Consider the following 23,070-nt stretch of genomic DNA (forward strand, 5'->3'; position numbering starts at 1 on the left):
CTGGCTCCCTCCTGGACGGGGGAGCTGCAGCATGAACAGGGCCGTCTCCCCAACTCCCACTGCGGGAGGCTGACTCTAAGCAAATCATCATCATTCAGTGTGAACAATGGGAATGGTTGCTCCCTAGACCATGAAAACCACAGCTGGAAGGTAGCAACCTCTGCCCTTCAAAATCAAAAGGTGCATTTTTGCCATTTGAAGGGACAAACTCCGGTAAGCACAGAGGGCAGTTTGTGCCTAGGGTGGGTGAGATGGGGGTGTGAGTGGGACCACCACCAACTCATTCTGTGCACAACATCAGACTCTCCTCCAAATACATGTTGTGTAAGAACCTAAGAGTTGTCAGTGTATAGGGGCCCCATGGGATTAGCCTGCCTGGGGCAGTCACAGCCCAAAATCTTGGCCTTCTTGCAAAAGATTCCCCAGAAGAAGCATGAACTTTCTCACACCTGTCAGGCCCTAGCAATGCCACTCTGCTTCCTTTATCCCATCCGTACCCAATCCCGTGAAGGAGGCAGACCAGGGATTGCCTCTCCCATTTTGCAGATGAGGAAATGAAGGCCGAGGAAGGTCGCATGACTCTGTAGTCCCTGGGTCTCCAGGTGCCCTGGCCAGAGTGCTCTATCTGCCCAAAATTCATATGTTGAAGCCTTACCCAACAATACTGCAGGATATGGCTTTATTTGGAGATAGGGTCTGTAAAGAGGTAATTAAAGTCAAATGAGGTCATTGCAGTAGGCCCCAATCCAATATAACTGCTGCCCTTATAAGAAGAGAAGATGAGGCTAGGCACGGTGGCTCACACCTGTAATCCCTGCACTTTGGGAGGCCAAGGAGGGTCGATCATTTGAGGTCAGGAGTCAAGACCAGCCTGGGCAACAAAGTGAAACCCCATCTCTACAAAAAAACACAAAAATTAGCCAACCATGGTGGCATGCACCTGTAGTTCCAGTTACTCAGGAGGCTGAGGCACGAGAATCACTTGAACCCAGGAGGTGGAGGTTGCTGCACTCTAGCCTGGGCAACAGAGCGAGACTGTCTCAAAAAAAAAAAAAAAAAAAAAGACAATGAAGGAGGCTTCCAGGAAGATGTCAGTATAGGGAGCACAAGGAAGCTGCCTCCACCTAGACAATAACTGCACTGGCAGAATCTGTCCTGCATAACTATTTTGGGACTCGAAAGGAGCCTATTGGAGGAGACTATTTTAAATAGGAGGTGACCAGAAGCTTGCAACTTCCAGGGGAAAGCTTGGTCTGCACATTGTGGTTAATTACAGTCAACCTCAGCTTTTGGCACAGCAGCAGCTACCATCCCCCAACCCCAGCTCTGTGGCAGACAGCTGTACATTTGTTCCAGGAGCAACCTGCAGATAGCTATTGGGAGCCAGGGCAAGCAAACATTGACCCTGGCCTCCACATCTCAGGATCTGTGTTCTGATTGCTGATTGCCACTTCTGATGACAGAGGTGCAAAGGGGCAGGCAGCCATTGTTGCACCTCCCCCCATTGTTGTAAGCCCCTCTCCTTCGGGCTGAATTGACTTCCAGGGGGACTTAAAGGGCCAGTGTCCTTCACCCCTTCCCTTCAATTTTCTTCTGTTTTCCTTTTGGAAACCATACATTAAAGCCTATGACATTCAAAAGCAATTGGATATACAGGGAAAATTAGAAATTGACCATGTATGTCCAAGGAAAGAAACAGGCTCAGAAAAAAAAAAAAAAACCTGACTCACGCCTGTAATCCCAGCACTTTGGGAGGCCGAGGCAGGCAGATCACTAGGTCAGGAGATCGAGACCATCCTGGCTAACATGGTGAAACCCCATCTCTACCAAAAATACAAAAAATTAGCCAGGTGTGGTGGCAGGCACCTGTAGTCCCAGCTACTCCAGAGGCTGAGGCAGGAGAATGGCATGAACCCAGGAGGCAGAGCTTGCAGTGAGCTGAGATCACGCCACTGCACTCCAGCCTGGGCGACAGAGCGAGACTCCATCTCAAGAAAAAAAAAAAAAAACAAACCTGAGAAGATCTTAAGTTTACACCTCAGGCTGATCCTTGGCACAGAGACAGCCTACAGTAATTCTGAAAATAAATAAAGAAATACATAGCAACAATGACAAAATAAAAAAACAGCAAACCCTAGGGGAGGGAGAGAATCTGATTTCCAGAGTTACTATATTATTAGATTCAAATGTCCAGTTTTCAACAACAAATGAAAATCACAAAGCATACAACGAAATAGGAAATTGTGACCCATTCAAAGGAAAAATGTAACTCAACAGAAACTGCCTCTGAAAAACACCTGGTAGCAGATCTACTAGACAAAGACTTCAAAACGACTGTCTTACAGATGCTCAAAAACTAGAGGAGATGTAGAAAAGTTATAAGAAATGGTCTATAAACAAAATGGAAAAATCAATAAAGAAACAGAAAACAAGAAACCAAAAAGAAATTTCAAAGCTGAAAAGTACTATAACTGGGCTGGGCGCGGTGGCTCACACCTGTAATCCCAGCACTTTGGGAGGCCGAGGCAGGCAGATCACGAGGTCAGGAGATCAAGACCATCCTGGCTAACATGGTGAAACCCTGTCTCTACCAAAAATACAAAAATTAGCTGGGCATGGTGGCGGGCGCCTATAATCCCAGCTACTCGGGAGGCTGAAGCAGGAGAATGGCGTGAACCCAGGAGGCAGAGCTTGCAGTGAGCTGAGATCGCACCACCGCACTCCAGCCTGGGCAACAGGGTGAGATCCATCTCTTAAAAAAAAAAAAAAAAGTACCATAACCAAAATGTAAAATTTACTAGAAATACTCAAAAGACTTATTTGGGCAGATAGAAAAAAGAATCAATGAACATGAAGACAGGACAAAGGAAATTATGGAGTCTAGGAACAGAAAGAAAAAAATTAAAGAAAAGTGAACAGAGCCCAAGGGACCTTTGGGACACAATGGACCAACATATACATTGTAGGAGTCTCAGAAGAAGAGATGGAAAAAGAGGAAGAAAGAATATTTGAAGAAATAGTGGCTGAAAACTTCCCAAATTTTATGAAGACATGAATATAAACATCCAAGAAGCTCAATAAACTCCAAGTAAGATGAACTCAAAGAGACCCACACTGAGACACATTACAATCAAACTTTCAGCTGGGCATGGTGGAACATGCCTGTAATCCCAGCATTTTGGGAGGCCAAGGTAGGCAGATCGCTTGAACTCAGGAGTTCAAAACCAGGCTGGGCAAAACAGCAATAGCCCGTCACTACAAAAAATACAAAAATTAGCTGGCTGTGGTGGTGTGCACCTGTAGTCCCAGCAACTTGGAAGGCTGAGGTGGGAGGATTGCTTGAGCTCAGGAGGTCAAGGCTGCAGTGAGCTGAGATCATGCCACTGCACTCCAGCCTGGGCAACCAAATAAGACCCTGTCTCAAAAAAAAAAAAAAAAGAAAAGAAGAAGAAGAAAGAATTTCGGAAGAGATAAGTGGCTGGTCACATACGGGATCTTCTCAATAAGATTATCAGCATATTTCTCATCTGAAACTTTGGAGGCCAGAAGGCAGTGGGCCAATATATTCAAGGTGCTAAAAGAAAAAGAACTGTCAACCAAGAATTCTATATTCATCAAAATTGTCCTTCAAAAGTTAAGGAGAAAGGATGAATAGAGTAATTGTGGGTATTAGAGGCTAGGAAGGGGAGGAGGAGGGAAGGATATGGAGACTTTAGTCAATGGATACAAAATTACAGTTAGATAGAAGGAATGAGTTCTGATCTTCTGCAGCACTGTAGGGTGAAAATGGTTAACTATAATTTGTTATATACAAGAGAGGATTTTGAATGTTCACAACACAAAGAAATCATAAATGTTTGAGGTAATGGATGTGCTAATTACCCTTATTTGATCATTCCACATCATACACATATATCAAAATATCACTCTCTATTCCATAAATATGTATAATTATGTGTTAACTCAAAATAAAAGAAATAAGTGTAATTTAAAGTGAAAAAAATGTTAAGTGAAGAGAAATTAAGACATTCTCAGATAAACAAAAATTAAGACAGCATCCACTAGTGGTGTTGTTATCACTAGGCCTACCCTGCAAGAAATGCTCAAGGGAATCCTGCAGGGTGAAATGAAAAGACATTAGACAGTAACTTGAAGCCATGTGAAGAAATAAAGGTCTCAATAAAGGTAAATATATGTGCAATTATAAAAGATATATTGTTGTAACAATTATATGTAACTTTATCTGTTTTTTACATGATTTCAGAGACTACTGCATTTTTAAAAATTAGTCTAAAAGCTAGTATTATTATAACTTCGATTGGTAGCCATACATTTTATTATCTACATAATTTAAGAAACTGATGAATTTAAAACAGCCATTGGCTTATATTTTTAGACACACAATATGTAAAGATGTAGTTCTGTGACATCAGCAACTGAAAGGAGTGGGGCTAGAACTGTAAAGGAACAGAGTTTTTGTGTGTTATTGAAGTTAATAAGGTATAAATTCAAATTAGGGTGTTATAATTTTAGGATGTTAAATGTAACCAAATCCCATCGTAACTACTAAGAAAATAGCTATAGAGTATGCACAAGGCCAGGTGTGGTGGCTCACACCTGTAATCCCAGCACTTTGGGAGGCTGAGGCAGGAGGATTGCTAGAGCCCAGGAGTTTGAGATCAGCCTGGGCAACATACCTAAACCCCGTCTCTATTAAAAAAAAAAAGTACAAAAATTAGCTGGGCATGGTAACACGCACCTGTGGTCCCAGCCACTTGGGAGGCTGACGTGGGAGGATTGCTTGAGCCCAGGAGGTCAAGGCTGCAGTGAGCCATTATGCCACTGCCCTCCAGCCTGAGCAACAGAGTGAGTCCCTGTCTCAAAAAAAAAAAATGCACAAAAAGAAATGAGAAAGGAATTTAAACATTCCACTACAAAAAATTAACCACAAAATAAAGCTATCATACAGGAAATGAGAGATTAAAAAAGCTATAAGGCATATCAAAAACTAATATAAAAATGACAGAAGTCCATCCTTAAGTAACAAAAATCAATAAAACCAAAATTTGGCTCTTTGGAAAGATCAACAAAATTGACAAGCCTTTAGATAGATGGACTAAGAAAAAAACAGAAGAAGACTCAAATTACTAAAATCAGAAACGAAAGTGAAAACATTACCACAAATTTTACAGAAATGAAAAGGTTATAAGCAGGTACTATGAACAATTGTATACCCCAAAATTAGATAATTTAGAGAAAATGGACAAATTCCTAGAAACACAAAAACCAATACTAAATTTCTATTTTCAGAAATAGAAAATCTAGGCTGAGCACAGTAGTTCATGCCTGTAATCTAACACTTTGGGAGGCCCAGGCAGGGAGATTATATGAGGCCAGGAGTTCAGGACCAGCCCAGCCCACATAGCAAAACCCCGTCTCTACCAAAAAATACAAAAATTAGCCAGGCGTAGTGTTGCATGCCTGTAGTCCCAGCTACTTGGGAGGCTGAAGTGGGAGAATTGCTTTGAACCCAGGAAGCAGAGGAGGTTGCAATGAGCCGAAATTGTACCACTGCACTCCAGCCTAGGCTACACAGTGAGACTATGGAAGGAAGGAAAGAAGTAAGGAAGGAAGGGAGGGAGGGAGGGAGGGAGGGAAGGAGGGGGGAAGGAGGGAGAGGAGAAAGAGGGAGAGGGAGATTGAACCAGTAATCAAAAAATCTCCTGACAAAGAAAAGCCCTGGTAGACCTGATGGCTTCACTGGTAAATTCAATCAAACATTTACAGAAGGGCAACAATCCTTCTCAAACTTTTCCAAGAAATTGAAAAGGAAGGAAAACTTCTTTACTCATTGTATGAGGCCAGCATTACCCTGATACCAAAGCTAGATAAAGACACTACAAGAAAACAAAACTACAGACCAATGTCCTTTATGAACATGGATGCAAACATTGTCAAAAAATACTAGCAAACCAAATTCAGCAGCTTATTAAAAGCCTTATACACCATAACCAAGTAGGATTTAGTCCTCAAACAAGGATGGTTCAACATACAAAAATTGACCAATGTGACATACAACATTAACAGGATGAAGGGGAAAAAAACCACATGATCATCTCAATTGATGCAGAAAAAATAGCATGTGACAAAATTCAACAGCCTTTCATGACAAAAAAAAAAAAAGCCTCAACAAAGTAGGAATGCAAAAAATAAATAAATAAATACCTCAGTTGGCCAGGGGCAGTGGCTCATGCCTATAGTCCCAGCACTTTGGGAGGCCAAGGTGGGTGGATCACCTGAGGTCAGGGGTTCGAGACCAGCCTGGCCAACATGGTGAAACCCCGTATCTACTAAAAATACAAAATTAGCCAAGCATGGTGACACATGCCTGTAATCCCTGCTACTTAGGAGGCTGAAGTCAGAGAATTGTTTGAGCCTGGGAGGCACAAGCTGCAGTGAGCCAAGAGTACACTGCACTCCAGCCTGGGCAACAGAGTGAGACTCCGTCTAAAAAAAAAAAAAAAAAAAAAAAACCTCAATATAATAAAACCCATTTATGAAAAACCCACAACAAATGTCATACTCAATGGTAAAAGACTAAAAGCTTGTTATCTAAGATCAGGAAGAAGGCAAGGATGCCCACTTTTGCCACTTCAACATAGCAGTGGAAATTCTAGCAAGAGAAATTCGTCAAGAAAAAGAAATAAAAACATCCAATTGGAAAAAAAAAAAGAAGCAAAATTATCTCCGTTCAGAGATGATATGATTTTCATATGTAGAAAACCCTAAGTATTTCACCCAAAAAAAAGCTGGAACTAATAAATGAATTCAGCAAAGTAGTAAGATACAAAATCAACACACAAAAACTAGTTGCATTTCTAAACACTAACAATGCGCAATCTGAAATGGAAATTACAAAAACAATTCCATGTACAACAGTAACAAAATGAATAGAATACTTAGGAATTAACCAAGGGGGTGAAAGATTTGTAGAATGAAAACTACAAAACATTGCTGAAATAAAGAAGACATAGGCTGGGCACGGTGGCTCATGTCTATAATCCCAACACTTTGGGAGGCTGAGGTGAAAGGATCACCTGAGCCCAGAAGTTCAAGACCAGTCTGGGAAACATAGTGAAACCCCATCTTTACAAAAAAGAAAAAATACAAAAATGCGACAGACGTGGTGGCACACACCTGTAGTCTCAGCTACTCAGGAGGCTGAGGTAGGAGGATTCCCTGAGCCCTGGAGGTTGAGGCTGCAGTGAGTCATGATTGCACCACTGCACTCCAGGCTGGGCAACAGAGTGAGACCCTGTCTCAAAAAAAAAATAATAAAAATAAGTGAATAAATAAAATAAAGAAGACATAAATAAATGGAAACACATCCCACATTCATGGATTGGAAAACTACTACTACTAAGATGTCAATACTACCCAAAGCAATCTACAGATTCAATGCAATCCCTAACAAAATCCTAATGATGTTTTTCAAAGAAATAGAAAACCCCATCCTAAAATTCACATGGAATCTCAAAGGACCATGAACAGCCAAAACAATCTTGAAAAAGAACAGCAAAGCTGGAAAATTCATACTTCCTGATTTCAAACTTACTACAAAGCTATGGTAATCAAACCAGTGTGGAACTGGCATAAAGATAACATATAGACCAATGGAATAGAGAGCCCAGAAATAATAAACCCTCACATGGGGTTTATTAATTTTTTTTTTTTGAAACAGAGCTTCACTCTTGTCGCCTAGGTTGGAGTGCAGTGGCGGGACCTCGGCTCACTGCAACCTCTATCTCCTGGGTTCAAGCGGTTCTCGTGCCTCAGCTTCCTGAGTAGCTGGGGTTACAGGAGCCCACCACCATGCCTGGCTGGTTTTTGTATTTTTAGTAGAAACAGGGTTTTACCATGTTAGCCAGGCTGGTCTCAAACTCCTGACCTCAGGTGATCCACCCACCTCAGCCTCCCAAAGTTGCGGGATTGCAGGCATGAGCCACCCTGCCCAGCTGGATTTACTGATTTTTGACAAAGGTGCCAAAACCATTCCATGGCAAAAGACAGTTTATTCAACAAATGGTGCTGGGAAATCTGAACATCCACAAGCAAAAGAATGAAACTGGACCCTTACCTAACACCATATACAAAAATTAACTAAAAAATGGATCAAAGACCTAAATGTAAGACCTAAAACTATAGATGCTTAGAAGAAAACATAGGGCTCAGAGAGCTCAGGAGAAAGGAGAATAGGGAGTTAGTGTTTAATGGGTATAGAGTTTCAGTTTTACAGCATGAAGAGTTCTGGAGGTAGATGGTAATGATATTTGCACATCATTATGAAGGTCTGTAATAGTAGATGCAAAAGTAATTGCTGTTTTGCCATTACCTTTAATGGGAAAAACTGCAATTACTTTTATGCCAAATTAATACGTTGATATAACTGTACACTTAAAAATGTTTAAAATGTTAAAATTTGTTATGTGTATTCCACTACAATTTTTTAAATGGAAAAAAAAAAAGGAGAAGGAGATGAAGGATTAAGACAGACACACAGGGAGGGAAGATGGCAATCTACAAGCTAAGAAGAGAGGCCTCAAAAGAAACCAATCCTGCCCACACCTTGATTTTGGAATTCTAGCCTCCAGAATTGTGGGAAAAGTAATTTCTGTTGCTTAAGTCACCCAGTCTGTGGTACCTTGCTAGGAGATCCCTAGAAAACTAATACACTCATCTATGAGCCTTGCTGGGAGACAGAGCCCAACCCCCACTGCAGAAGCAAAAAAATGCCAGGTTCTCATCTTGGATTGGTCAAACAAATACATCTTGAACTTTAAGTGGGAGGCTGGTGACATCGAGAAGCAGAGAACCCAGTTTGGTGGATGTCACAGGAACACCAGATTTCCAGGAGCTGCACAACATATAGTTGCTGTGGTCCCCTGTCTGCAGCAGACACAGGTGTGTCGATACACCTGGCCATCCTTTGGTGGTCCCACCAGAGTGCTGATGGCATAGTGCCTCATTGTGGTCAAGTGAGCTGGCATCCCCACTGTACAGAAAAGGTTCACACAGCAGGCCTGAGACTTCTGTCCTTAGAAAGGGCTGCTTGAAAGACTGTCCCTGGGCTGGTATCTGGGAACTTGGATTTGGGGAGTATTTTCCCTATTCGCTAACTGTTAAGACGGGCTAATCAGTTTGTCAATTAGGGAATGCTTAAATGTTTGTACAATGTGGTTTATGCTAGACACCTGCTTTCCTTCTGAGGGTCTGGTAATTTGATACATGCTAGGCAAAGAGTGCCTATGAAATTGACCCTTCATAAAAACCCTGGACTCCTAGGCACAGACAAGCTTCCCCAGTTTACAACATTCACACCTGTTCTCTCAGTCTGATGCTGGAGAAATTAAGCATATCCTATGGACTCCGCTGGGAGAGGACGCTTAGAAGCTTGCACCTCGTTTCCTCCAGGTTTTGTCCAACGCATTTTTTCCATTTACTATTTCTCTTTGTATCGGTTTGCTGTGATAAATCCTAGCCATAGGTATGACTGTATGTTGAGCCCTATGAGTCCTTCTAGCAATTCACCAAACATGAAAGTAATCTCGGAAATGCCTGTAAGGACACACTGTGAATCCAAAATATCTGAGACAGATCTCAATCAATATAGAAAAGCTTATTTTGCCAAGGTTAAGGACGTACCCACAACACAGCCTCAGGAGGTTCTGATGACCACATGCCCAAGGTGGTCAGGATACAGCGGGCTTTTATACATTGTAGGGAGACATGAGACATCAATCAATATGTGTAAGATGTACATTGGTTTGGTCCAGAAAGGGAGGACAACTCGAAGCGGGAGGGCTTCCAGGTCATAGGTAGATAAGAGACAAAAGGTTGTCTTCTTTCGAGTCTTTGATCAGCCTTTCACTGGATACAGTTTAGTCTGGCTCAGTGAATCTGCATTTTACATCAGCAGAGGAAGCAATCAGATACGCATTTGTCTCAGGTGAGCAGAGAGATGACTTTCTGTCCCACACCTGTGAAGATAAGCTATCAGTTTACATTGCCAGGGTGAAATTCAACGGAACTGGTTTATGGTAAAGATCTTGAAGGCCACAAGGAATTTCCTTGCAGGCAAATTATGTAGGAGGTATGTAGCTTTTCTATCTGTATGGCTATCTTATTTAAGAATAAATGGGAGGCAGGTTTGCCTAACGTTGTTCTCAGCTTGACTTTTCCCTTGGCTTAGTGATTTAGGGTCCTGAGATTTATTTTCCTTTCACAATACTTACTTACCCATCCCTATCGAAGAGGGCTCCTTTATCCTCCACTCATTTGGAACATGTTCTTGAATGATGGACCCAGATCTTTGTCCCAGCACCAGTTCTGGTGACAGGCATTAGAACCACCCAGGGAGCTTGTTAGCCATACAGGATCCTGGGGCTCACACATTCCCTGATTCAGCAGGTCTGGAGCTAGCCCAGGAAATCAGGTGGCTGGCTAGTCCCCCAGGGGGTTCTGATGCTCAGTCAGGCTAGGGAACCCCTGGCTTAAAGGAAGACATCCCCAGCCCAGAATCTGGACACCTGAGGTTGAGCACCACTTTGGACAATGACCTGAGGGGCTCTTTTGGGCATACCTTCTCCTCGGGGTCCATTTATCTCCACCCCCAATTGAGAGGCTTGGCCCCAGCTCTGGGTTCTTAGTGTTCTGGTGGTCACAAATCCCTTTGTGAATCTGATGAAAGCAATGAACACTCTTTCTAGGGAACATGAACACACACACACACACACACACATACACACGTAAGCACAATTTAACCTATAATTTAGGAGCCTATAGACCCCATGTGAAGATCTCTGACCTAAATCCCACCTAAGGCTCCCAACTCTCACGTTCTATGATTCTATCAACAACCAACCAAACAATGAAGCATCTTCTGTCACCTCAGACCCTCAAACTCATGAACCAACGTTTTGGTACCAGCCCCCTAATGTCTGTAAAATTGCAAATACCAAGACTAATGTTCTCTCTGGAGTGGTGCAGATAAAGTTATATCAAGTATGGTTATTAAATTTCCATATTTAGATGTGCAAAGCCAGGCTCCTCCAGGAGTCCTTAGAAGCCATTCAGTTCCCAATAATCAGATTCACAGCTGCTGCAGCCGATTCTCGACACTTTTCCTCAGGTGGAGTGGAGGCTGAGGTCCTGCTCCCAGGCTCAGCCCTGAGTCACCCACAGGGCTTGGCCACCCATGAGTGCAGGCAGAAAGCAAAGAGAGAGATGCAAGCCAGAAGACATGTCACCTCCTCTGAGGAGCCGTCCCTGACCCCCAGTAGCAGTTAATCATTGCTTCCTTTGCATTTCAACAGTATATTATGTGAGCTGCTATTACAGGCTTTGAAATTATTTGCCTGGTATTATAGTTCATTGTACTCATGTGCCACCTCCAAAGTGTAAGCAATTTAGGATCCAAATTTATTCTGCATTCAGGTCAGATGCCCAGGAACCACCTGCCCTGCCCCAGGCTGCTGCCTGCTGCTTCTCTAATATTCTGTACTTCTTGGGAAACTGCTTTCCTCCGCTTCTGGGACGAGCTCATGACCATGCCCTGGACAGTCAGAGGTTTCCAGTCCTCTGCCACAGTGATTGGTTCAGGGATGGGTACATGACCTGACAGGCCAGTGAAATTCAACCCTGGGATGTTTGCTGAAACTGTCAGAGAAGAGGCATTATCTTTCCACTGGGGCTCCAAAGCTGATTGGATTGAAGCCTGGATCTGCTCTGGGGTTCCAAAGCTAATTGGATGGAAGCCTGGATCTGCACTGGGGCCTCAAAGCTGATTGGATAGAAGCCTGGATCTGCACTGGGGCCTCAAAGCTGATTGGATGGAAGCCTGGATCTGCACTGGGGCCTCAAACCTGATTGGATGGAAGCCTGGATCTGCACTGGGGCTCCAAGTTGATTGGATGGAAGCCTGAATCTGCACTGGGGCTCCAAAGCTGATTGGATGGAAGCCTGGATCTACAGATGCCATCCCTGCTGAGAGTGAAGAGTATGAGCCTCAGCAGAAGCTAGCGAGGACGACAATGCTGGCAGATGGAGAGAGCAACAAAGTCCTAATAATGGGCTTGTTTGAGGCTCTGGATCCTGCCAAACTGAAGCCAGTGCCACTCTTGAGCTTCTCAGTTTCATCAGCCAGTCAATTCCCTTTTTGTGTGAGCCCGTCTGAGATGGGTTTCTGTCCCTGGTGACCCAGAGTCCCAGATAAGGCCCCCAGAGTGCTAACTTGCCTCTGAGGTACTGAGTAGCTTGGTAAAGGGTATGCACTGGGGCATGGGGCAGTGGCGACTTGTTTGAGGCCATGGAGCATCTTAGGGAGGGGCTGAGACCAGAACTCAGGTTGCTTGAATCTCAGACCATTCTCCACATGACACACTGCCTCTCTTCCTCTGCCTGGGGGTCCAGCATTGGACCAAACCCAAAGCTGCCCTAAAGCCACCACAGAGTGAAATGCTCCCTCAGCACCCACCCCAAAAGGCCCGATGGGGTCCAGGCCACAGACAAGCAAAGGTCAAAACAGGCCATCCCCATAGCACTCAGGGTAGAGGCTGCTCCTAGCCCGAAGACGGGTTTCCATCCAGAAGGGACTCTGGAGTATGCAGGGAGTTAAGGCAAAAGCCAAAGAGAAGGGACCAGAAGTGACATCTCCACTTTGTCCAGCAGTCCAGGTACTGCTGCTACTGCAACCAGCCTCAAGGACACCAGCTGGGTCATGCTTACAACACACTTTACAACCTTGGATCCTCTCACCTGCCCAGGAAGGGCCATGCCCTTGCCCATGATGTGAGTGTGGTTGAGAAATACTGAGCAAAATCATCCTTCTTTTTGGCTTTTTGCTATTGATTGATTTGCAGTTTTATTGGATTGTGGTTTAAGACTGTGGTCTGTATATAGTAGTTCTTTGGTATTTATTGAGACCTGCTATGAGCTAGTAAATAATCAATTTTTTTAAATTTCCACATAAACTTGAAAAAATATATATATTTAAATGACAAATACAGGGCTAGGGTTCTCTATGTATGTATCTGACTGAGATTGATAAAGATGGTTTTTAAAACTTCTGTATCTGTGCTAAGTTGTTTCCCTACTACAGCTCTCATTTTCCAGAAGACTATGTTAAAATCTCCCACTAAGACTGCAAATCTTTCCATTTCTTCTTCTAATTGTCTATTTCCTATAAATATTTGAAACAAATGCGGGGAGAGATCCAAGTCCAGGTGTATCTTCCTGGTGAATTGTTCCTTTTACATGATGTAAGGCCTCTTTCTCATGCAATGTGTCTGATGATAATATTGCTACACTGGCTTTCCTTTTTTTTGTTTTTTAAGGCAGAGTCTCACTCTGTTGCCCAGGCTGGAGTGCAGTGGTGGGATCTCAGCTCACTGCAACCTCCACCTCCCGAGTTCAAGCAATTCTCTGCCTCAGCCTCCCGAGTAGCTAGAATCACAGGCACCTGTCACCACGCCCGGCTAATTTTTTTGTATTTTTAGTAGAGACAAGGTTTCACCATCTTGGCCAGGCTGGTCTTGAACTCCTCGCCTTGTGATCCACCTGCCTTGGCCTCCCAAAGTGCTGGGATTACAAGTGTGAGCCACCGCGCCCGGCCAACACTAGCTTTCTTTCGGTCAGAAGTTGTTGGGTATACGCTTTCTGTTTCTTTCAAACTTTCAGTGCCCTTGTCTTCCAGGTGTGCCACTGTTAATAGCACAAAGCCGGATTCGAGTCGGGGGTGGGGGTGGTGTTGTTAGTGTTGGTAGGGCTGGTGTTTGGGGCTGTTTGTTAGTTTTGTTTGTTTTTTGAGACAGGGTCTCACTGTCGCCAAGGCTGGAGTGGAGCAGCATGATCACATCTCACTGCAGCCTTGATTTCCTGAGCTCAAGGCATTCTCCCGCCTCAGCCTCCCAAGTAACTGGGACCACAGGTGTGCACCGATAGTGTTTTTAATCCAGTCTGAGAATTTCTGTTTTTTAAACGGTAAGCACTATCCACTTACGTGTATTGTGATAACTGAAGAATTCAGATTTCCTTCCAGCATTCTATTTTGTGTTTTGTTTTTACTTTGCTTTTTCTTTGCTTCTTTTTTCTCCTTTTCTGATTTCTATTTGGTTAATCAGGGTTTGTTGTTGGTTTGTTTTTTTTTTTTCAACAATAGCTGTTTCTCCTAAATTCGGGGTTTTTTAGAAGATTCTTTTTCTACTGACTTCAAATACTTAAATGATTTTAGCTAGTTTCTATCATATTTTAATAAATATGTAACAAGATTCCAAGTTACACAGTGTCATTACACATTGTGTCACATCGATGACACTAAGACCTTAGGATCTTTCCTCCAATCTCACCACCATTTTCCAAGTTGTTGTGGTCTAGCACTTTTGAATCCCCAAAACTGGTTGCTATTTAACCACTGTTTTTTATACACTCCGTGCTTATTTAGATTTAATTACCAAATTATTGTCTCACAGTTACTTCTTACGTCCTATTTTTTCCTTCTAGGCTTAAATTATATCTTAATGGAATGCATCCTTTAGTGATGCTTTCAGCAAGGATCTGTGAGTGCTAGAGTCTCTTGGACTTTGTCTGAACATGTCTTTTTTTCACCCTCACTGGTAGCTGGCTACAGAATTTTTGATTAACAATTATTTGCAGTGGCATCTTTATTATATCGTTCCATTGTCTTCTGGCCTCTATTGTTACTAAGTCTGCTGTGAGCCAAATCACTGTTATTTTGTAGGTAATTCATTTATGTCTGGTTGCTTTTAAGATTCATCGTTGTTTCCGGTTTTCTGCAATTTTACTCCTTGTATATAAGTGTAGATTTACTTGTTTTTACTTTCAGGGGTAAAACACTCTCTTTTCTCCACTTTTAATATGAAGATTCGTATCTTTCATCAATTCTAGAAAACTCTCAGCCATGATCTCTTTAAATATTACTTCTCTGCCTGGCACAGTGGCTCACGCCTATAATCCCAGCACTTTGAGAGACTGAGGTGGGCAGATCACTTGATGTCAGGAGTTCGAGACCAGCCTGGCCAACATGGTGAAACCCCGTCTCTATTAAAAATACAAAATTTAGCCAGGTGTGGTGGTGCATGCCTGTTAATCCCACTACTTGGGAGGCTGAGGCAGGAGAATCGCTTGAACCCGGGAGGCAGAGGTTGCAGTGAGCTGATATCACACCACTGCACTCCAGCCTAGGCAACAGAGCAAGACTCTGTCTCAAAAAATAAATAAAATATTACTTCTCCCTGAGTTGCTCCATGCTGTGCTTCCTAGAATACCTATTAGATGCATGTTGGACTTTCTCACCCTATCTTCTATATCTCTTAACCTCTCTTTTATAGTCTCCTTTTTATCATTATGTATTGCATTTGGGAGAATCTCATCACTGATTTTCTCCTGGTGTCTAACCTGCTATTTAACCTATCTACTGAGTGTCTTCATTTCCTTGTTTTAAGCTATCTCTTACAGAAGGATGAATGGCTTCATTTCAATGACTGTATTTTCTAGAAATTAAATTTGGTTCTTTTACAAATCTGTTTTTTCTTTTATTATGGTACCCTGTTTTTTCCTTATTGTTTCTTTTCCTTTTTTTTTTTTTTTTCTCTCTCTCTCTTTAGTAAATTCAAATGGCCCCAGGTTCTTAGAATCCTTGTCCTACGTCTGATCTCTTCCTCCCGGTGATTCTTCATGTCCCTTATGATTCTAGACTCTGAGCTCATCTTCAGCAGTCCCATGGGCCCTGAACTGTGAAAGAATTACTGTTGACAGTCTTCTATTCGCTTCTGCAAAGGGCCCAAGAGGGCCTATATTTTACATTAATATCTCAACGTAGGAAGTTCTCTATCACAGACCTTAACTCAGACTCTATACTGAAAGGTGTCATAGACAGAAGGCTTCCAGTTCTTATTGGCTTGGTTCTTGGATCTTAAATCACAGACCCAAATGTGTCTATAGCAAATGAGGTTGAGGTGATAAAACTTCCTTGTTGTACCCTAGAGGACTATATCCAAAGGCTCAGGGTATTGGAATACTGGAGTGAGTTTACTGTGGGAGACTTCTCACCTGCCCTCCAACTATGTCCCCCGGAAGCATCCAGAGGCCGCTCCCTTCACCCAGGCTTTGAGAAATACTTTGGTGGGTTTACACCACACCCCTGAAGATCTCCACGTGCTTATTTTCAGTAGACCAGAAATGATAATGGTGTCAAACTGGGTTCCCTGAATTCAATAGGAAAAATGAAATCCCAGGGAAGCAGAAGCCCAGGGATGGCACGGAGCCACCAGAGGCCAGGCTGGCATGGTTTCCATAATGAGCAACAGAACCGAAGTGTTAATGGTTGGACAAGACTACATCTATGTCATAGGCTGAAAGATCATGGTCTCCCTAGAACTGAAAGAAATGGGCAACCTGCTACTCACTAGGTTTATATAAACAGAAAAGCTCTAGATCAGAAGTTTGACTTGAATTAGCACAGTAGTCAAAGTCAAAGAGTCTTGATGAAGGATTCTCAATATCACATCACAACTAGAGCATGTGAAATGGATTCCATTTAATGTAGCCATGTTTGGATAATACAATCTACCCTGCCCCTTGAGAAGGAACTCAGCTATACTACCAATATACCTTTCCCAACATGACCTGCAGCCATTGGCCAGGTTACTGTGCATTGGAGAAGAGGAAATAACTAGACTTTTTAGAAATTATTAAACACTGGCTCTGAACCGACATTGACCATTCCCAGACTTGAGCTAGTCCACAGGCCCAAAGCCTCTATAAATAATGCAGTGTAACAAACTACAACAGAATTTAGTGGCTTAAAACAACACCATTTTTTCTGCTTATAAATCCGCATTTGGGGCAGGGCTTCATGGGAACAAGTCATCTCTGTGCTACTTGGCCTCAGCTGGAACAACTCAGGCTGGGGGCCAGAATCATCTGAAGGCTCATCCAGATGTCTGGTGGTTGAAGCTTAAAGGACTCAAAGAGCTGGGGACTAGAATAGCTGGGACCCCTCCACTACCCCTCTCTGTCTTTATGTGGCCTTCACTTGTGGTCTGTCCAGGATGGCAGCTTCAGCATAGCCAGACTTCTTATATGTTGGCTCAGGATTCCCAAGGCACAATGGGGAGAGGGAGAGAGGGAAAGAGAGAGAGAGAGAGAACCAGATGCAAACTAAATCTAAATCACCTTTTAGTGCCTAGTTTCAGATTCTAAGCAGCATCACTTCTTCTAAGTTCTGTTTTTTAGAACTGACAGCTCATATTTCAATAAAGAGACGTAGACCCCATATCTCAATGGAGGAGTCTCAACATCACACATAACTAGAACATGTGAGATGGGCTACATTTAATGCAGCCATGTTTGGATAATACAATCTACCCTGTCCCCTTGAGAAAGAGCTCAGCTACGTTCCAATATAGCCTTCCCAACGCGACCTGCAACCATCGGCCGGGTTACTATGCATTGGAGAAGAGGAAATAACTAGACTTTTGAGGGATTACTAAACACTGACTCTGAACCAACACCAAGCAATGTGGCCATGGCATCATGGATAGAGGCTCTACATGGGCTCATGTAGAACATGTTCTTCCATTCCTTAGGGCCACCTGGCTACAGATATGTCACCATTCCCCAGGGGAACCAGCCAGTGATCCAGTGGCAAGTTGATGACATTGTATCATTTCAATCATGGGAGGAGCAAACATTTTCTAATTGGAATAGAACCTTTAGATATGGATTTGCTTTCCCTACTGGCCATACTTCTGCTAAAAACTAGCATATGTGGGCTTACTGAATACCTAATTCACAATCATGGTTATTTACTTGGAGGCCAATATAAGGAAGAGAGGGTGACTTCCACAAATCCAAATAAAATATAAGCAAACTGTAGAATTAACATTTTACCGTCATCAATTTCATATTTATTAAAGTACTTTTCTGACAATTTAAGACCAGCAGATGTAAAGTTTCAGGGAAGAATTACTTTTTTTAATCCTGCCCTACTATGATCAAATTTATTATGAAAGATTAGCTAGAGGAAAAAAGCAAACACTTTCTAATTTATTAAAGGAAACATTTCCTCGACTGTCCACCAAGCTTTCTACAAGTTGCAGACCTCGAAACATGTTGATCATTTGATTCCATTTTCTTAAAAAAAACCCATCATGGCCGGGTGTGGCGGCTCACGCCTGTAATCACAGCACTTTGGGAGGCCAAGGCAGGTGGATCACAAGATCAGGAGTTCAAGACCAGCTTGGCCAATATGGTGAAACCCTGTCTCTACTAAAAATACAAATATTAGCTGGGCGTGGTGGCGAGCACCTGTAGTCCCAGCTACTTGGGAGGCTGGGGCAGGAAAATCGCTTGAATCCAGGAGGCAGAGGTTGCAGTGAGCCAAGATTACGCCACTGCACTCCAGCCTGGCGACAGAGTGAGACTCCGTCTTAAAAAAAAAAAAATCAAATCATAACTTTTATTCTTGCAGCTACACTGAAAACAGTGCCTGTGTCCTGGGATTGCATCACACTAAATAAATCTGAACTTTTCCTCAGGAGCTGAAGTTGTGCAAGGTCAAGATTCCTTTCCAAACAAACCTGTCCATGACACTGCCCCATTTCTACCAGCAGACCTGCTTCGGACCTCCTGGCCGGCTCCTGGCTGCCCTCCAGGAGGCCAAGACATGCCCTGAATGCCAACAGGTGTCAGTGCTATGGCTTGGGGCTTTCTCATTCATCCAGAATCTGCTTTGTCTGTGCTCTAAGCCGCGGCAGGTGTCAGAAGCCGATCTTCAAGGCACTGCTCAAGCCCAGCCAAGTTTCTAAAGTTGGAATGCTGGCCGGCAGTGCTAGATGTGTGTGTGTGTGTGTGTGTGTGTGTGTGTGTGTGTGTGTGTGTGTGTGTTTGCTTTGGGGGGTAGGGTTGTTTTTTTGTTTGTTTTTGAGACAGAGTCTCGCCCTGTCGCTCAGGCTGAAGTGCAGTGGCGCAATCTCCACCTCCTGGATTCAAGCAATTCTCCTGCCTCAGCCTCACAAGTAGCTGGGATTACAGGGGTGCGCCATGATGCTCAGCTGATTTCTGTATTTTTAGTAGAGACAGGTTTTCACCATGTTGTCCAGGCTGGTCTCCTGACCTCAGGTGATCCGCCCGTCTTGGCCTCCCAAAGGGCTGGGATTACAGGTGTGAGCCACCACACCCAGCCTGTTTGTTTTTTTTTAAAAAGCCTCCTTGCAGGTAAGTTAAGACCCAGCCTGTCCTTAAGCAGAAGTGTCAGCAGCTACAGAAAGAGTCTCGAGGTGGCTATATCCACACACATCTCCTCTGGTTCACTCAGTCACCCTTCACTAACTACCACCTATGGCATCAGAGCTGTGGGCCCGAAGAGGGGCAGGGAGTCCTGCTGAGGAAGGCGGCAGTAAGGAGCAACAGTGTCGCATGGAAGTAGATGCATGAGTTACTAACTCGAGCAGAAGAGGACTGTGGGGAGTCAAGGAAGTTGTGCCACTCAAGTCTCCTTCAGATTCAAGGAACAGAATCCCAAATCAAATCAGCTCAAACAAACAGGACACTTACTGGCTCACCTCACTGGGAAGTCCAGGGTTATCCTGCTTCAGGCCTGGCTGGATCCAGGGGCTGAAGCAATGATGTCATTAGGGCTCTGTGCGTGGTTTACTTCTGCAGGGAGATGCTCTTCCTGTGGGGGAAAGATGACCACTGCAGTCACAGACTCATCATATCCCACATGAGTAGTGACAGCAAAATGATCATCTGTCTCTCTCATAACACCACTCCCAGGAAAGGGTCTGACTTGTCACATGCCCATGCCTGAACCAATCTTTGTGACCAGGGAGACAGGATATTCAAACTGATCAGTCTGTATCATCTGCCCACCTGTGGCAGGAGCAGAGCTGTGACCAACAACCCTACCAGGAGCCTGGGGCATGAGGGAGGCGTTGTGCAGACAGACCCAGAGAAGGAATACACGAAGGCTGCTTCAACCACTGAAGGCTTGAGATGGCACGTGAGCTGGCCTCAATGGCTCAACGCAATCTACTAGGGGACAGTGAGGAGGCAGAGCAAACACGCATGGGACAGGAGTGATCCTAGAGAATGGCTGGAGAGGGAGAAGCAAGCAGAGCGAGCCACAGAGCCCCACTCCCGGGCCACGTCTGCTCCACCTCTCACCCCTCCTGGCCTGTCTGCCACTTGATTCTGGGGGTGGGGCAGGGTGCAATGATGACAGATGAGGAAGCAGATAGCATACTGACTTCTAGTTAGTCTATTTAAAAATGGAGATTGGCACCACCAAATCCTAGCTGAAAGCATGTTCAGGTGTGCAATGCTGCAATCATTAGGAAGAAGGAGGCCAAACCGGCAGGTGCAGCTACTGAGACCATTCTGGCAGGAGAACCCAGTGCCTGAGGTGAGCTGGCTGCAGTCTCTAGAGGCAAAGGAGGCAGTCATTGCCGGGCTTTCAGGGTGAAGGCAGCAGCAAGGATAAGACAGAGCTCAGGATTTAGAACCCAACATCCTGCTTTCAAATTTTTTGTATTTTAAAAAAATAAGTAAACAGGCCGGGCACGGTGGCTCACGCCTGTAATCCCAGCACTTTGGGAGGCCAAGGCAGGTGGATCACCTGAGGTCAGGAGTTTGAGACCGGCCTGGTCAACATGGTGAAACCGCATCTCTACTAAAAATACAAAAATTAGCTGGGTGTGGCGGCACGTGCCTGTAATCCCAGCTACTTTGGAGGCTGAGGCAGGAGAATCACTTGAACCTGGGAGGTGGAGGTTGCAGTGAGCTGAGATCGCGCTACTGCACTCTAGCCTGAGTGACAGAGTGAGACTCCATCTCAAAAAAAAAAAAAAAAAAAGTAGACCTATAACTATGCAAAAAAGCTACCCATAATTCTACCACCTGGAGAAGACCACTGTTAGCAATTTCATATATATCCTTCTACACTTTTACATACATTTTCTTATATATCCCCATATTTTTTACACAAAATATATAGAAGCAAAGATACGTACCGTTTCATTTAACAACAACAAAAAGTGGAGATGGAGATCAGACTGTGTCCTGGCCTCGTTTAACAGTGATAGGTGTCAGCGTGGTTCCATGCCACTGCGTGCCCTTTTATTTAAGGGTGAGAAATCTGAGATCCAGAGGAGAGAAATAACTTGCCATTTCTGTGTAGCAGGTCACTGGTGGATCAGAAACAGCGATGCTGGCTCTCACTCACTCTGGTCCTTTCCAGCCATGATGCTGCTGCATGGTGACCTCCCTTTGAAGGTGACACTTCTTCAACATGGGGGGCCTGTGGCCTCCAGCTGCAGGCAGCAGCTAGGGGCAGCTGGTGCGATATGCCTTGGACTTCCCCAGCAGATCCCAGGACTCACAGCCCTCAGCCTCAGGGCAGCCTGCAGAGCAGCCACTGTGACTCCCTGGCCAGGACCCCGGACCGGACTTCCCAGGAGCTATCACCTCCCACCCTCCAGCTGGGTCCAGTTACTACACAGAGAGATGAGCCTGGACATTACCTCTGGCCAAGAGACAAGGTGTGGCTGGTTCAACCACAGGCCATGGGTACACCCGCCCAGGCATGTCCAGGCAGTCAGGATTCATCTTCAGGTCGTCAGGGGACATGTGGCGTGCTTTTCCTGTGGCCAGACAATGAATGCTCTTTGGCTCCAGGAAGGGAGCTGTTCCTCACCAAATGTCACAGCAGTGGACACAGGGGCCCTGACGATGAAAGGCATCCTGAAAGGCAAGCCCACCACCCTGAACCTTCCCAGGGAACTGAGGGAAATGGAGAAGTTAAAGGACAGCTGGAGACACCCACCAGGCTGCAGACACACCCCAGGCTGCAGACACACCCACCAGGCTGCAGTCTGCAGAAACAAGAGAGGAAAACCTTAGCAGTCAAGAGAGCTGATGGGTGAAGGGCACCAGCTTTGGAATCTGCTAGCCTGGGTTCCAATTCCCATCAAGTTCTTGCTGGCTGTGTGACCCTGGGTGTGTTGCATTCCCTGTCTTAGCCTCAGCCTCCACATCTATAAAATGGGATTACTCATGATACCTTCCTCCCTGGATAACTGGAATTTAAATGAGGAGCCAGAGGAGAGCTCTTAGCACACTGCTAGGTGGGTTACTTATGGGTTTTTTGTTTGCTGTTTTTGAAACAGGGTCTTGCTAGGCCAGGTGTGGTGGCTCACACCTGTAATCCCAGCACTTTGGGAAGCCGAGGCGGGTGGATCACTTGAGGTCGGGAATTTGAGACCAGCCTGGCCAACATGGTGAAACCCCGTCTCTATTAAAAATACAAAAATTAGCTGGGTGTGGTGGCGCACATCTGTAATCCCAGCTACTTGGGAGGCTGAGGCAGGAGAATTGCATGAACCCAGGAGGCAGAGGTTGCAGTGAGCTGAGATGGTGCCATTGCACTCCAGTGTGGGCAACAGAGGAAGACTCTGTCCCCCTGACCCCCAAAAAAGGAAAAGAAACAGGATCTTGCTATGTTATGCTGGTCTCCAACTCCTGGGCTCAAGTGATCCTCCCATGTAAGCCTCCCAAGAAGCTGGGACTACAGGCATGCACCACCGATGCCTGGCTACCCACTGTTTTTATTATTTACCTAGTGGTGCTGAGAAAGGAGAGATACCACCTAAGTGAATGTAACCACATCATAGACACCCAAAACACCAACTAGTGTGCTCGTCATTTTCTTTTCTTTTTTTTTTCTTTTTTTTTTTTTTTAACAGAGTCTTACTCTGTCACCCAGGCTGGATTGCAGTGGCACAATCTTGGCTCACTGCAACCTCTGCCTCCCAGGCTCAAGCAATTCTCATGTCTCAGCCTCCCAAGTAGCTGGGACTACAGGCGTATGCCACCATGCCTGGCTAATTTTTGTATTTTTAGTAGAGACGGGGTTTCGCCATGTTGGCCAGGCTGGTCTCAAACTCCTGGTCTCAGGTGATCCGCCCACCTTGGCCTCCCAAAGTGCTAGGATTA

The 23,070-nt window shown here is 44.5% G+C and overlaps 1 long non-coding RNA gene across 3 annotated transcripts in view; it reads right to left on the bottom strand.

Annotated features, from left to right (window-relative positions):
- Positions 1 to 23,070, bottom strand: part of LINC03036 (long intergenic non-protein coding RNA 3036) — a 245,028-nt gene that overhangs the window by 197,652 nt on the left and 24,306 nt on the right. Inside the window, exons 3-4 of one of the 3 annotated variants that reach the window (NR_186542.1) lie at positions 21,090 to 21,214; positions 19,641 to 19,753 (exon numbers count right to left, since the gene is read on the bottom strand). The exons of the other annotated variants lie outside the window; for them this stretch is intronic. This is a non-coding gene — a long non-coding RNA (long intergenic non-protein coding RNA 3036). The remainder of the gene's footprint in view (positions 1 to 19,640; positions 19,754 to 21,089; positions 21,215 to 23,070) is intronic. 3 annotated transcript variants of the gene reach the window in all.

The sequence above is a fragment of the Homo sapiens genome, chromosome 10, assembly GCF_000001405.40.
Source record: "Homo sapiens chromosome 10, GRCh38.p14 Primary Assembly".
Taxonomy (NCBI): domain Eukaryota; kingdom Metazoa; phylum Chordata; class Mammalia; order Primates; family Hominidae; genus Homo; species Homo sapiens.